At 51.4% G+C, this 15872-nt stretch overlaps 1 protein-coding gene across 6 annotated transcripts in view, besides 4 other annotated features; it reads right to left on the bottom strand.

The window, feature by feature from the left end:
• The window catches only part of OXTR (oxytocin receptor), a 28345-nt gene extending 13480 nt beyond the window's left edge, over positions 1 to 14865 (bottom strand). For 2 of the 6 annotated variants that reach the window (XR_007095681.1, NM_000916.4), the window contains exons 1-3: positions 14483 to 14865; positions 13748 to 13843; positions 12518 to 13581 (exon numbers count right to left, since the gene is read on the bottom strand). Coding sequence is in view for 5 of the 6 variants with exons in the window: in NM_000916.4 (NP_000907.2) it covers positions 12518 to 13439 (922 nt within the window). In the remaining variant the exon portion in view is untranslated. Of the gene's footprint in view, positions 1 to 12517; positions 13582 to 13747; positions 13844 to 13939; positions 13984 to 14299 lie in introns of those variants that run through there. The other 4 variants (NM_001354653.2, NM_001354654.2, NM_001354655.2 and 1 more) reach the window with 4 other exon arrangements.
• Positions 12317 to 12988: an enhancer, noted in NCBI's record as "H3K27ac-H3K4me1 hESC enhancer chr3:8808751-8809422 (GRCh37/hg19 assembly coordinates)". NCBI's record gives its function as "activates a minimal SCP1, AML or CMV promoter by ChIP-STARR-seq in primed H9 embryonic stem cells {active_cell/tissue: H9 hESC(primed)}" and the evidence as "EXISTENCE:reporter gene assay evidence [ECO:0000049][PMID:30033119]".
• Positions 13310 to 13369: a silencer, noted in NCBI's record as "silent region_14029". NCBI's record gives its function as "represses an Ori minimal core promoter by ATAC-STARR-seq in GM12878 lymphoblastoid cells {active_cell/tissue: GM12878}" and the evidence as "EXISTENCE:reporter gene assay evidence [ECO:0000049][PMID:35858748]".
• Positions 13661 to 14332: an enhancer, noted in NCBI's record as "H3K27ac-H3K4me1 hESC enhancer chr3:8810095-8810766 (GRCh37/hg19 assembly coordinates)". NCBI's record gives its function as "activates a minimal SCP1, AML or CMV promoter by ChIP-STARR-seq in naive H9 embryonic stem cells {active_cell/tissue: H9 hESC(naive)}" and the evidence as "EXISTENCE:reporter gene assay evidence [ECO:0000049][PMID:30033119]".
• Positions 14980 to 15029: an enhancer, noted in NCBI's record as "active region_19394". NCBI's record gives its function as "activates an Ori minimal core promoter by ATAC-STARR-seq in GM12878 lymphoblastoid cells {active_cell/tissue: GM12878}" and the evidence as "EXISTENCE:reporter gene assay evidence [ECO:0000049][PMID:35858748]".

Here is a 15872-nt window from a genome sequence, read left to right on the forward strand (position 1 = left end):
CCCCACCCCAGAATTACCCTCTGGAGGTAGGGCTCAGGAATGTTGTAATTCTAATGCACCCTCAAGGTTAAGAACCACTAGTCTAATTAATTGGTGCACCTGTTGGAACAAGAGCAAGCTACGATAGACAGAAAACAAAATTCTTGCAAAAGAGAGTTTTTAGAAAGCAAAGAATGGAAATTTAACTCTTAGTATTAAAATAATAAAGAATAGAAAGGAGGAAAAATGAAAGAAAAATGATCAATATTACTAAATTCACTGGTTTTAACAAAAAATATTTTGTTAAGAAATTTGCTTTGATTTGGATGGATAAGAAGATGAATTTAAGTTTAGAAACTCTGATGGAATATTTCACCAACAAAATTGAAATTCACCCACAAGACTAAAAACAGAATGTCTCAGAAATAATGAAAGAGGCAAAAATCAACGTGCAAAAGTCAATATTTACAACCTACCAGCCACAAAGGGAAGGTTCGCCCACAAGACTAAAACCAGAATGTCTTAGAAATAATGAAAGAGGCAAAAATCAACGTGCAAAAGTCAATATTTACAACCTACCAGCCACAAAGGGAAGGACATAGGTGTATAAAGCTTTGCAATGAGGTAGGAGGAAGCATCAGGGATGAAGTTCACAGAAAGACACTGTTTTGCCTAGTTGGATACAGTTATTTGGCACAATCTTATCTGTTCATTTAAGCTATTGGTCTCACTCTTTACTCTTTGGATCTTTCAACTTTTTTATCCTATTTTTTAAAAAACTACAGAAACATCAACAACAAAGAAGAAAATAGTTAATGAATTCCTAAGTAGCCACCAATCCTTCCGCCTCCAAGAGGCTGGTCTGGGTGGGAGAAGTCTGGCCAGTGCCTCTGATCCCACCTGGTGGCCACAGACACGAGTGACCTCAAGTGGGTCCTCAGGGGATGAAGGGCCCTCTCTAAGCTGAACCTGCTCATGTCAAGTTACTAACACTAAGGGCACATTTGGCTGTTCTTAATTTGTCAATATCCTAGTCACCCAAAGTCGTTAAGTTTCCAGGAACAGCACTTCAAAGCTCTACCATCAGGGGGAGATCTATTTGGAACACAAAGCAGGGACTATGGAGCATATTTCAAAGGGCTGAGGCAGCAGGAATAAAGGCCCATGGTTGAGAACAGCCAAGATCACTCAGGGACTTCCCGGGAGGCAAGAAGGGAAAAGGGGAGTTTCACAAGAGAAGAGTTTGGAAAGATGGTTTGGAACCAGACAGGAGGATCTTAAATCCAGACAGAGTCTGCCCACTTTACTGTATGGGCAATAGGGAGCCACTGATGGTTACTGAGCAGGTGAGCGACTACGGATTCCACTTCAACCTGCTTTCTGCACTTATTGTATCTTGTATAGGCCATAGCATTCCCCTTTCTGATGGCTAGAAAGGCTTCACAGGATTACAGAGGACTTGGAACAGAAAAAAGCATGGAAAATATTGTCCTTACATTTCACAATGTTACTTCCATGTGAGGATGTGACAATGCTGACCATCAAAATCACTGCTCGAGCCCGCCCAGGAGAGTACAGTTTTCAAAGTAGCCTTATCCTCATTTTATAGATGAGGAAAGTAAAACTCAGAGAAGGAGAGTCACTTCCCCAAGGGCACACAGCAAGTCACCCTGTGTTCATACATAAAAGTAATGAAGACTGATTCCTTTTAAAAACAGGTTAGCATCCTCACAGGTCAGGTTGGTTCCAATTAGTGAATCCTGTCAGTCCCAAAGCCAAGACAGAAGCTGGTTAGGCAGTTTGCCTAATGTTATGATTTGAGGGACAGAGAGCAACTTCCCTGTTCCCAAAACAAATGTGGTCCACCACTGACAGTAAGCAGTGCCCATTCCCCATTTTTGACGCTGTGGATGCTGTGGTGCCCCCTGAGTACCCATTCCTCTAGCTGCCCAAGAGCTGCCTGCCAAATGCTCACAGCTGAGCTCCTCTCTGGGCATTGCCTTTGGCCAAAAGGAGCTGCCACCACACCCAATGACTGCTTAGTGCAAATGTGCAAAGGCCAGGCCCCATGCCTTCATCCGGGCTTCTCTGAAGGGCCATGGCCACTCCCAAGCTCCCGGTGAGACTGGCCTCCCTCCGCATTTCCACACAATGCAGCCACAATGATGTCAGCGCAGAGAGGAGGACCTACAAGTCCTCATGGGCCTGACTCAGAAAGGTCTGCTATGCAGCGAGCACCTTCTCCGGGGTCCCTCAGGAAAGGAAGCTGTTCACAGTGGGCGCCCCCTGGCCCACAGAAACACTGGCTGAGAGGCAGGGAGGAGAACCCAGGAACTCAGGATCCAGATGCAAAGTCCTGGGGCCTGGATCCCCCTCCCACCTAATCACTCTCTGAACTACATCTGAGTGAACTACTGCCTGAGCCTCAGTTTCCTTATCTGTAGCATGGAGGCGGCACTCATAAGGCTATTGAGAAAATGAAAAAAAAATTAAAGATCGTGTAAAAGGGCTTTGTGACTGGCAAAGTGTTTATTCAAGTAATTATCATTAACATTAGTATTAATATTAGTATTAATATTAATATTAATGTATGTGAGGTATGACCAACTATAGCAATTCTTTAAAATCCAAGTTTGAAGACTCCCAATCCCAGAACAATTAAAGAAATTCTCCTTAGCCCATTTTCCCAACACTTCTCAAAAGTTAAAAAAAAAAACAAAAAACAAAAAAAATCAAACCCCAGAGCCCTCAGGTTGAATCACTTGGCAAGAAAGGAACTCTAGACAGTCCATTCTGGAAAACTTATTCTACCAGCGACCTAGAAATCCAAAAGGGAAGGTTGCTGCAACTGTGGGCAGGAGCAGGATCTTAGGGTCTCCGCTGGAAGAGCCAGTTCTAATCATGTGTCTCCCACTTTCCTGCCATAAAAATCACATCTTGCCCCACGATCGAGTCCTGAGCGTGTGCCAGACTGCAAACTTACTCTCTCCCATCCTTGCCAGGAAGGGAGGATGCAGAGGAGAGGCTGTCCACCCGGACTCCGCGGGGGCCGCTGGCCTCACACTTACGGCATTTCTCGGAGGAGGAAGAGGTCAGACGTCCATCCTTTCATTCTGCCTCCCCTCCATGCCATGCACTGAGTAGGTGCGAGGATCTAAGTGGAGTCCCTGCCCTCAAGTGATTTCCAGACTCAGGATGAGAAAGAGAGACTTAAAAGACCAGCAGAATATTGAACAGGGGGTAAAGCATTTGGGGAAGGGGCTGCTGGGCACAAGAGCTGGGGACTAGGGGTGGTTTTCAAGTGCAGTCTCTTGTGTGCCAAGCGGGGGACATGAGCAGAAACAGCCACACACCAAACGCCAACATCCCCTGCTGGGCAATTCTGTCCCTGGGAGAATCAACTCTGCATTTCTACTTGGCACCATGATTCATGGAGGGGTGGGAGGCAGAGGTCCACGTTCCATCCTTCCCAGCCTGGCTTTCCTCAAGCCCCAAGAACTCCCCTGTTAGGATTTCCCGGCACTCTCTCCACCCCAGCACTGAAACCCCAAATTAGCCCAGAACAGCTGACGGGCAGCTGGCCACCGCCTCTCCGGGCTGTGCTGTTCCTGAGGCTACCGGCACGTTTCATATGACTCAAAGACATGTGGCCAAGATCGGCTGAGTCAAAGCAAGCCCATCAACTTCACAAAAGGCCCGCACTTGAGAAACCAATCATTTGCCACAAGGCCTCCCCAGAGTACCAGGAATTCAGATGTAAGTCCCTCATTCCTACAGGACTGTGCGGGCATCTGGGAACAAAACTATGGAAGGCCCTTTCTTAAGAAAATGATTTTTGAATGTATGCTTATAGAAAGATTGAGTCTCAATATACACTACAGGGTGCCTTCTTAGAAAAGACCATCGTTTTACAACTGTGATTTTCCTAAAAATCACAGATGTGTGATCACCCCGTGTAGTGCAAGGTCTGGGTGAAGAGCCAAACGGGCGGGCTACAGAGTTGAAAATGGGTTTCTCTGACAGCACTGCTCCAATCTGGTAGGTGTGCTGGACTCACTGGGCTGGGCCTGAGAATAACCACATTCTGGAAGAAGACAAGCCAGGGCCTTCCTGCAAACGACCAGCCCTTCGCTACCCTTCAAGGAATGACAAGGCCCTCCATCCAATCTGGGCCACACGTGTAAAGGCAAACAGTGAGTGTTGGTAAAAGGTCATATGTTAAAGCTTTGCTGCTCAAAGTGTAGCCAATGGCTGGCTACAGGGCATCTGATAGGCGCCACCTGTTTCCTTGTCAAAACTGCAAACTCTTGGGGCCCCACCCCAGACCTACTGAGTCAGAATCTGCATTTTAACAAAATACGCATTAAAGTTTGAGCAGCTTCCTTCCAACTAGCTCAAATCGTATAGATAGGAAAGAAGAAATGAATAAAGTAACTGTCCACCGTTCTTGATCTCAATGTGGAATGTGCATCTGCTTCTTTGCATAGTAAGCTCCTACTCACCCCTCAAAAACCCTTTTCAAATGACACTTCCCCTCTGAAACCCTCCTGATTTCTTCCCAGGGAGACAGATCAACTAATGCCTTCTCAGGGTATTTGCAGTACTTGGTAAATAAATAGCTCTATAACAGCATCACCCCATCATATTGTCATTATTTTCTGACACTCTTTGGCTGGGGACTGTGTCTTATTGGTAGCTCCGTCCTTAGGCTGCTAACAGCTACTGGAAAATAGGAAGAGTTCAATAAGGAGCTGAATTGGACTGAAGCATGAAATTAGCAGGCAAGAGGTCCTGATAAATCAGCCACCGCTGTCAGTATGTTGGAAGGGCTACAAATAATTTCCCTGCTCAACCACAGGATATGGCCTCCCAGTAAGGTGACTGGACTCAAATGCAATTCCCTCTGGGAAAATTAAGTTCGCCCTCAGATATGGTCAGGTGGAGAGAAAGGGAGAGAAACAGAATGTGCAAGAGTGCCGTTGGGGTGGGAGACATGGGCCGGGAGGGCAGAAGCCCACAGTCTCAAAGCATCTGACTAAAGGGCAGGAAGCCTTAGCTCCCGGCTGAGCACAAAAGGAGATACTGGCAGAGGCTGCCCCTCAGTGCAGGAATCAGGAGTAAGGATTTGGGCCTTGGGGCTGGGACACTGGACACCACCTGGTTACACCTCTCTCCCACCCATACCTTAGACAAGACCCAGCCTAGGGTACCTCTAAACCAGAGCTAGAACCTTCCAACTGGCCTCCCGCCTCCTCCAGGTGAGACAGTTGTTTCTCTTTCAATACTCTTGTTCCCAGCATCCTTGGACTTGCCACCATGCGCCAACTGGACCTGCAGCCCCTTTGCTAAAATGCTAGGCCTGTACCCAAAATGACTCCCACTCCATCAGCTACACTGACTTGCACCAGCAGGATATTCCACCCTGTATACAACCTAAGTCCTATTCTGAACTTCAGAAACCTGAGATTCTGAACCCCAGAAACCTGAGTTGTGGGCAGGCTCAGCCCCACACCCGAAGTCAGCACTGCCGCTCCATCTGACACTAACCCAGCAGAAACTGTGGGTGTCCCTCCCAGAGGTCTGTGGGTGTACCCAGAACTCTGTGATCAACCTTGACCACACGGTCCCACATTTATGCATGTCAGCAGCTGGCCGCAGGAGGGCGAGGGCTTGGGAGGGCCCCTTGCCAACTCTCTTCACTTGGGGGTTGACAGATGAAAGCAGAGGTTGTGTGGACAGGAGCCTGCAGAGGCATCAGTAACTGTTTTTTGGAGTGAATGACTTAGCATTCAGAGGAAGAAGCCCCGCAAACTGGGAAAACAGGGATGGTTTCCTGAAAGGGGCACTGGATGAGGCTGCCATGTTCAGCTGTTCAGGCTGTGCACTGCAAAGCTCCTAGGAACACCCTGTTCATAGACCATGAGGTAAAAGGCATCCCCTGGAGTTGTGCCACAAAGCAGCCCACACAATGGACTTGGGCTTCAAAGGATGGGAATCCGTGGAAGAAACTGGGGTGGGCGTTCCCATGGCAGGAACAGTATTAGCAAAGGTGCAAAGACAGCAAGGCCATAGGAACTTGTGGAAAGCGGCAAATCATCGGGCCTGGCTGGGGGTACACAAGGCAGGCTGGCCAGAGACCAGGGCAACAAGAGAGTACTCACTGCCAGGTATTAGTTTAAAAAGCAGAACAAGGGGTCTAAGCCAGCAGTTCTTAACCAGGGATGACTTTGCCCCTTAGTGAACTTTTGGCAATGTCTGGAGACAGTTTTGGTGGCCACAGCTGGCAGGGAGGTTGCTAATGGCACGTAGCACGTGGAGGACGGGAATGCTGTTAAATATCCTACCATGCACAGAACAGCTCCTCCCTGACACACATACACACACGCCAAAGACTGTTCAGCCTAAAATGTCAATAGTGCCAAAGTTGAAAAAATCGTGCTCTAAACCAAGAAGGTGAAAATGGAAAGAGAAACAAAGTGCCAACCTGAGGCATGTGGTACAGCTGAGATTATAGAACTGGTGGACACAGGGAGGATGAGAGGGGCATGGCACTGAACCCAGAATGCTGGGAGGGCAGTGCCATCAGCGGATGTGTACCTCGGTGTGTGTGTGTGTAGGTGTTGCAGGAAGAGCCCAAGATGTCAGGACCTTGGGGCCAGATAGTGGGGGAGGGTTCAGCTTCCATGGATCTGAGGCAGGTCCAGCGATCTAACAAGCGCCCAGGAGATCCCCAAGTCGAAGGTGTAGATCATCGGGAAAACTGCTGGCCTGGGGCGGCAGGGGTTGGGGTCGTCATGCAGTGTGTCAGTCTCTAGTGTAAGATGGCTGGGTTCCAATCCCAGCTCCATCACTTACTCAGCAGTGATCGTGGGCAGGTCACACCTCTCTAAGCCTCAGTTTCATCATCTGTAGAAAAGCCATGATGGGCCCCTTCCTTGCTGCATTAGGGTGAGGAGCAGAAATGGCCTGGGCACAGGCCTTGCTCACAGTGGGCACTCAGCCAGTGGTGGCTGCTGTTACCAACTGATCCCACTCCTCCCTTCACCAAAGCTGAGGTCCAGAGAGGGTGTCAAAGCTCCATTATGAGCCGTTATCCCCATTGCTCAGATGGGAATGGCAGAGGTCCAGAGGCCATCAAGAGACATTGCCCCAAATGACACAGATGGCAACAAGACCAGGTCCCAGAAGGGGACTGGCTACTTCCCACTACTGTCTCCTGGGGCTGGGGGCTCTGGCAGGTGGGCTCAGGTGTACAGGGTCCGGCTTCAGCCCCTGGGAGGGAGCCCTGTGGGGTTGCCTTTGCTTCCAAAAGTTGCCAGGGCAAGGTGGTAAGGTCAGCAGGTGGGCCAGTGCCTCAGGTCACACCCAGACACGCCAGCCCGGGGCCACAGACCTCACCCAGCCTCCACAGACAGTGTGATGCAGCCAGGGCACCTGCTAATCTCCTCCTGATCCGAGGCCCTCCACAACCCCTCTTCCCCTCCTCACCCCTCCCGAAACCCACACAGACAGCCATCAAATGGAAACATGATGTAGCAGGGCCTCACCCAAGAGGCTGGTTTGGGGTTAGCTTTTGAGTTTTTTGATTTTGGATTTTTGTCTTTTTAGCTGTTATTTATCAAACCTTTGGGGGGAAAAGAAGTGAAATCACCACAGGGCAGAAACCCTAAGGGAAAACATTAACATTAGCTAAGAACATAAAAGAACACACAATTACTTAATCATATAAGTGTCTGAAGTTAACTGTCCATCTAATTGTGATTTGTACCCAGAAGGGCCGAGCTTGTGCACTCTTCATGGCCCAGAGTGAATATCCTGTCCAAGCTTCTCCTGCCGGCCCACCATGCTCTCCACATCACTGGGTCACCTCAAGAAAAAGCCCCTCCAAGGGGCCTGGTCCCCCACACCTCGGGCACAGCATTCATGGAAAGGAAAGGTGTACGGGACATGCCCGAGGATCCTCAGTCCCACAGAAACAGGGAGGGGCTGGGAAGCTCATTCTACAGATGGGGAAACAGTTCAAACCAGGCCTCCTGTGCCTGTCAGCCTTCCTCCCAGTCCAACGCTCCTGACAGATGTTTGGTTGCCCCAGTGATGGGGCGCTCCTTTCTTTTCCAGGTTGCCAGTTCTGTTTCAGACAGCTGCTTAGAAAGTCCCTATTCCTCCTGAGTCCAGCTCTTCATGGCCATCCCTGCCCCGTCTCACTCACCTCTCTGCTCCCATTTTCCACGTATTTGGCAAGCACTGGTTGAGCTATCAATGACTGTGCAGCCTTGTGCCAGGCATCCCCTGGGGTAAAAGGCATCCCCTGGAGTTGTGCCACAAAACAGCCCACACATTGGACTTGGGCTTAACAAGTAGGGAACAGGACAAGCAGCGTCCCTGCTGTGATAGGGCTCATAGTCCACCTCTCCGGCCTTAACAAGCTTCTCTCCCACCTCCCAGCCTCCCCGGACACATCACCTGCTGTCCACTCCCATTCCCTCCACCCAGGCTCAAGACAAGAATCCCCATCTTGTCCATCAGGAAGGGGCCATAGGTCACACCATTTAATCCTCACATCAACCCCAGGCAGTGAGCCGTGCTATCCTTATTACATGGAGGAGGAGGTGGAGGCTCAGAGCAGGTAAAGCAACTGGCTTAAGGACACTGGACTGGGCGTTTTACCAGGGAGAGGCTGGAAGGAGAAGACTAGAGACAGAGACCCCAAATCCTGTCCACCGCACCCAATCAACATCAACCAACCCTAGAAATGCAAACAGCCCCACTCTACCAAACTCCCTCCTCATCCTCATCTCCTCCCTCAGAACTGCCCCAGGGTCAGAGCCCCTGCAATCAGCATAGAAAATGCCACTGGGTTCAAGGGAAAAGGCTGGTGCCGAATCTTTGGCTTTGGAATTTAATTCTGAAAGATATATAAAGGGCTTGTCAAACCCTGCATGGGGCATCCAGTCTCACCAGCCTCACCAAGTCAGCACCCGACGGCATCCGGCTGCTTTGAAGAATGGATCTCATCAAATTACCCAGATGCTCCCATTGGCTCTTTCTTCGGAATCATGGAAATATTTAAACTTAAAGTTTTCCTCTTTGGTTCTTATAACAACTAACCAGGTGTAGAGCTTGTCTATACACAGAGAGACTATTATTATTAATAGTATTATTACTATTATTGTAATAGTTTTTTTTCCTTTTCTTCTCCCTACTGCCTGCTTTATCCCAGTTTCCTTATATCTATTTTATCTTGTTGAGGCACCTAAATTTTTGGCCACCACTGCACATTACTTTTGGAACAAGGTGAGCTTTAAACCCACAAAGGCAGCCCTTGGTATTTGTGAAGGCATATGAGGGAATGAAGTTGCTCAAGGGAGAGATGGAAAAGAGAGAGCAAATGCTGAAGCAGAGAGGGACTTCGGGTCCCTGGGCCACCACATCTACAGCCACCAGAAGCGTGACATTCCCCACCCACTCTGGCAGCCTTGATGGGTGGCCATTGGCTAAGCTCCCCTACCTCCCTGGGGTTTTCATGATAAAGCAGGAACAGACCCATGTGTGCCCCACCTCTCCTGCCTCCCTGTGAGCCTGCTCCACCTGCAAGCATCCCTGGATGGCATCACACTGTTAGCCACAGGCTTCAGTACTGGCTCCTCAGGTGATGAGTGGAGTAAGGGGCCCTGGTCTAGATATTTCCGCATCTAAATTCTGTCCTCTTGGAGAGGAAAGTGGGGCTGTGCATTAATTCCACTTTTCCGATAATAACCTCTTGAGTAGCTCAAGTGTGGTTCTCTTTTATTCCTTCCTTAACACTTGCTGGTAGCCTCTGGATTGAGAGGTATCTCCAAAGTGATGCAGACACCATTTCCACCTGCCAGTTGCAATTATCCAAATTAAGGCCAAGTGGACACACGGCTGGTGTTCTAACTGAGCTCACAGCCACTCTGACCCCTGCATCCCCGAGGCCTAGGCATGATGTGGCCAGGCTGGTGGTGGCCAGAGTCCACGTCATCACCTCTGTGTTTGATGAGGTGCTCACATCTGGACTGGGCTCCTGCTCCTGGCTGTGTGCTTGGGGCAGCGGGGAGGTCCCGGCTGCAGCAGCATCATGAATCCCTGCCGGTCTGTGTTTGGATTCTTCTCAGTACCTGAGACAGAATGCTGAGGAGGACCAAGAGAAGCCCTGGGTTTTTCATGCAACACCCACCCTTCCCTGTGAATTCCTAAAGAAGCAAAGGGAAGTAGGACCTGAAATTCTTAAAGTCCTCTTCTTTCCCTGCCCCTTGGGCTTCAGCAGGAGCCCGTCTCTACTGAAGGTCTGGTCCCCAGGAAAATCCTCAGAGGACCACAAACACTCAAGAGGCCTATGACCTCCACTCTGGCCAGGATCTGTGTGTGTCTGTTTTTTCCTCTCTCTTTTGCTTCTAAGACAAAGAAATCAATTGTTGACGTGCTTTTAAAGTGTAGAAAAGATCTAAACTTCGCTTCACGGTACGTGTGACGTGTTGACCACACACTCTCCTTCTTTAGGGAGGACACACAGTGAGAAGAGGAGTGCAAGTGAGGGGGCTGAAAAGCAGGAAGCCATAGAGGAGGGAGCTGGGAGGAAAGGGAAGGAGAAAAATCACCAGAGACTCAAGACATGAATGGGAGAGGCGAGGGGACCCCAAGGAGAGAGGAGTGGAATGTCTGTTGAATGAATTAACTGAATGCTGAAATGTCCTCATTCTAAAAGCAAGACTAAGGCTCAAGGGGAATAAAGAGATCTCTCATCTAACATCCCAAAGCTAGTAAGGGCTGGAGGAGGACTAGACCCCACATCTCTCCAGTATCTACTCCAAAGGGTGCTGGTTTCACTTTCTTGATAGTTGGTGTTCGAGCTCCTCAAGACCTGGATCTGGTTTCTTCAGATCTGCCCAGGAAACAGGTGAGGCCTAAGGCCTTACTTAGAGACTTCCACTACTGGCTTTTGCCCAACCCCACTCCCTCATCATGTGTCCTTCATAAGAACCCTGGCATAGGAAACGTCAGCTGTGCCTCTGACTTGCTGTGTGACCTGGTGCAAGTGCCTTCCCCTCTCGGGGCCCTAGAACCCTCTCTGTAAGTTGTTACCAGGGGCCACAGGTGTTCGGTAAATATTGAATAACCAGTGTCTTGGCCACTAAAGCAAACACTGAGCTAACTGGGAGGGTTCCATAAAGCCTGGAGTCTGTGATTTTCAGAAAGGACCAAAGCAAAGTTACCAAACTGAATGAAAGCAGCTGGCACTGAGATTTCGGCTTCCCAGGATGCATGTATTTGAGACTATTGGGAGCAGTAGTAACTGCACACAGAAATGGGACATTTGCAGTGTCTGGAGTGCAGAAAGGGTGAAAGCAAATCCTTTGGTCTTTCTTTACAAACATTTGAAGTCCCCAGCATCCAGCACGCGTTATGGGATTGCCTTCAAACAAAAACTTATAAATCATTCACCACCAGCAATCACCCCCTCCTGGTCTTTCCAAATGAGCTACTGGAAAGGGGTTGGGGGGCAGGGAGTGACAGGAAGCTGCCTGGTGCTCTGTGCCTTGGGGACAGCCACCCAGCACCAGCCACAAACCCCAGAGCCCTAGGGTGCCTCTGTTCCTCCAAGCTTTCTCCCTAGGTCGCCCTCTTCTATGCCCTCCTCTTAGCTTTCTGGCACAGGCCAAGAATGGACAATTGCCCCACCTTCAGCCTTGTCCTCAGCAGTCCTCCTACCTGGAAGGCACATTCCCCACCTACAGAAATCACCCAGCCTCCCCCTCAAACTTGAATGTCCCCCTCAAGGCTTTCTTCTCTTTCCTCCAAGTGGAAGTGAAGTCTCAGTCCTGGGCGCTCTCCTCCCTAAGCCTGCCCACCACTCCTTGCAGTACTCACCTCTCTGCATGGAGACTCATCACCTCCACTCGATGAGGAGTTCAGGGATTTGTCTTCACCTCTCCCTTGGACTCCTCTGCCCCCCAACACCCCCTTCAACTACTAGGTGCTTGGTTGGACAAATTGCCACTCCTGCAAGGCTGTCCTTGTCCAAACCAGACTTCTTGGCTTCAGCTGGATTTCTTGAACTTAAAGTGGAAGTTCATCTTAACGTGAACTTAAAGTTGAAGGAGCTTGAGCTTGGCCAGGGGTTCCAAACTTACCTCCACCACCTCCTCCTAACCACGTGGGAAAGCAGATGGAGTCCCTTGAACCTGTTTCCACCACCACAGTAAACCATACAGCCCATATGCAGCCCAAGGACTGTGCTAAGGACTTTAACTGCATTTTCTCGTGGCATTCCCCTATGCCTGGTGACAGTTGGTACTTTTATCCTTATTGCCACCTTACAGAAGAGAAAGTGGAGGCTCAGGGAGGTTAATTGCCCTAAGTCACTTGGTCAAGGGATGACAGAGCAGTGACTCTGTGGGATTTCAAACCCGCTTATCCCCCAGGAAGTCCACAGACCCCTGGACATTCTGAGGCAGCAAGATAAGGGCCTCCCCCAGCCACCAGGCTCCCTCCTCCTGGGTCTCCCAGCCCTGGCTACCTTCCTTGGGCGCGTTGGCATCCCAGACGCTCCACATCTGCACGAAGAAGAAAGGCGTCCAGCACACGATGAAGGCCAGCACGATGATGAAAGTCATCTTGACCGTGCGGATCTTGGCCTTGGAGATGAGCTTGACGCTGCTGACACGCGCCAGGGCCACGCGCCCCCCATCGCCAGCCGCCGCGCCCTCTGGCGCCTCGGCCGCCGCCGCTGCAGCGGTCTTGAGCCGCAAGTTCTGCCAGATCTTGAAGCTGATAAGGCCGTAGCAGGCAGCGAGCACGATGACCGGCACGATGTAGACAGCTAGCGTGATCCATGTGATGTAGGCCTTGGGTCCCCAGGGCTGGATGAAGACGGCCCAGCAGTCGAAGACGCCGTCAGCCACCTCGCGCAGAGAGAAGATGTGCACCTGCGGCGCGCTGGCCACCAGGCAGCCGAGCCACGTGGCGAGCACTGCCAGGCGGTCGGTGCGGCGGCGCAGCGAGCGCAGCGGCTGGCAGATGGCCAGGCAGCGGTCCAGGGACATGAGCAGCAGCAGGTAGGTGGAGGCGAACATGCCCACCACCTGCAAGTACTTGACCAGGCGGCACAGCAGGTCGGGCCCGTAGAAGCGGAAGGTGATGTCCCACAGCAACTGCGGCAGCACCTGAAACACTGCCACCACCAGGTCGGCGATGCTTAGGTGCTTCATGAAGAAGAAGAGGCGCGAGTGCTTCTGGCGTGTGGTGCGCAGCGCCAGCAGCACACACGCGTTCCCGCTCAGCGCCAGGAGCAGGATGAGACACAGCACCGCCACCTCCACGCGCGCCAGGGCCTCGTTGCGCCGCGGGGGTCCGGCGGTGCGGTTGCCCTCGGCCCCCGGCGGCGCGGCGCTGGCGTTGGCTGCCTCGGCGCTCCAGTTGGCTGCGAGCGCGCCCTCCATGACCCTGGCGGCAGCGGTGCGCCCCGGCCTTCGAGCCCTTTACGGCTTGGCGCGGCTGGGCCGGATCCGGCGTGTCGGAGGGTGTAGGGGCGCCCGGGGCTCCACTCCTGGAGACTCCACGGACGGATCTGCTGGGTCCACCCTGAAACAAACCGGGAGGGCCGTGAGGAGACCGCCGCGTTTCTCTTCCGACGCGGGTAGGGCGTGCTTGTCCCATTCCCAGGAACCCAACTCATCTGAAACAACAGGGCACAACCGCCGGCCTCGGGTTGCTCAGCCGCCACCCCAGAAATCCCCGTTGGAGGTACCTCCTCTGAGCCACTGCAAATGAGCGGGAATCCTCTACCGGCCACAAGCCCAGAGCCCCCAGCGTGCCAGTTCCTCGGGATGTTCAGCGGCTTCCACTGGGGGAGAAGGGAGGGTCAAAATCAGCAACGTTCCTCCGGGAGTGGGAATCTAAAACCAAATCACCTCCCCGAGGGAATCTCCAAACTACCTACTCGCCCCAGGCTCCGACCCTCAGCATATCCACCTGCCGCGGGACCCCCAAACCAGCCCCTCTCCTAGTAAACATTAATTCAAGTACTTCCTCCGGAAATCCCCAAATAGCCACTTGCCTGGGAAACCCCAGCTCTGGTCCTTCCCCGTCTAACCCCCTTTTCTAAGACGGTCGGCCGTCACTCCCTGAACTTCCACAGCACCTGCTTCGGTGGAAACCCGGTTCTGCAGTCCCTGCTGGGGGAACCCCTGCCTCAAAGCCCAAGATGCCCAAGCGCTGTTCCCAGACCCTGGCATAGACACCTCCCGCGGGGCTCCTCCCCAGCCCGGCAGCCTCGAAAGTTCTGGAACCCCTGACTTGCGCTTTGGACCCAGATAATCAAGGACTCTGAGTCTCAATCCCGAGAAGTCACTTTACAATCTCTCGGAACACCCCGAGCTCCTCCAGGAACAAGGAGTGCGAGGCACCCCACCACCTCCACTCGGGTCCCGATGGCTCCACCGGCCCTAGCCATCCCGTCCACCCCTGCTTAGCACCCAGCTACCTGCACCGAGTCCGCAGGCGAACCTAAAGTTGACTCCCCCCGGGGAAGTTGCACGGCGACTGACGGCCCCAGTGACGCGTGCGCTCCCGGCCCGAGTTGGGATGGCCTGCCGGCTGCACCTAATGTGATGCTAAGCTGAGGTCTCTCACTGGAGCCTCGGTTGGAATCCCCTCGCCGCAGCCTGGCTGGTCGCTGGATGGGTACAGGAGGCGAGCGAGGAGCGCCTCCCAGGCTGCGCGCGCGGACAGCGTCTGGATGCGGCGCTGTGCGCTGGGGCTGAGGCTGCACTATCGCACGGGTCCGCTAGGGGGCGGGCGAGGCCAGCCGCGCAGACCCCTCCGGAGCGGAGCTGGTTCGCCCAGCGTTGGTCCCAGAGCCTTAACAAATGGGTTTATTTTGCAGTGGTTTAAAACTGCGAGAGGGAGGGAACTCGTCAATAACCCGCCCGTTTCTTCCTTTCTTGGTTTAGAAGCTCTTGACTCCGAGACACATAGGAGGCTTGAATAATAATGTTCTTCCCCGGGTAGATAGTGATGAAGTTACAAAAGCATTTAAACTGATTATTTCCCAAAAATGATGTTAATTTTCAGGCTTTTCTCTCCCCCCACACCTCCAGCTTGATGTAGCGGCTTTAGCAGTGAACTCAAATAAGTCTTTGCTTTGGAATACTTTTGTTCCTATTCCCGTTAATGAGGAATTAGAAATGGCCTCTATTCTAAGCAGTGCTGGGAGAGGCGTTATTTTTTCGGTAGTTTTAGAGGAAATTCTGAAGCACAACACTGTCTTCATTTAAAGTGATTCTGCTTGTCTGCGCCCAAGAGCCGTTTCTGCCTCCTTGTCGCGCTTCGGAATTAAAATTCTAAATGATGCCAAAGGAAGATAAAATGTTAAAGACAGCTTCTCAGCCTCCCTGCCCCTTCTCTATTCTAAAATCATTTTTTGAAGTAATTTACAGTGGCCAAGAATTAAGTCAGAAAAAAAGGCCAGGATTCAAAAATAAACAGGGCTCTTTAAAATGCATTAAATGTGTATTTCCTCCTGACATTTCACTTCTCCGTCTTTTTATTATGTGGAGAGACTTGAGTTAGCCAAGGACTGGGTTTCCTTAATCCACAATTACAGCCCCATGCCGAGATATCCCAGGGGCCAACCTTACAGCACCTGGATCCCAGGGTTCTAGCTGAGTAATCATTCCAGAATGGGGCTGGGAATCTTGACAGCATTGCCAAGGGGTGGCAGGCAGTATTAATCAATATTAGTCAATAGTACCTATCGGCCTCGAAAATTACAGATTAAAGTTACAGACGACTCAGGTGAGAATGAAGTGACCTTGGGCAAGCCCCTTCTCTTTGGGCCTCAGTCTCCTCATATGTAAAATGAGAGCACTGGT

The sequence above is a fragment of the Homo sapiens genome, chromosome 3 (genome assembly GCF_000001405.40).
Source record: "Homo sapiens chromosome 3, GRCh38.p14 Primary Assembly".
Taxonomy (NCBI): Eukaryota; Metazoa; Chordata; class Mammalia; order Primates; family Hominidae; genus Homo; species Homo sapiens.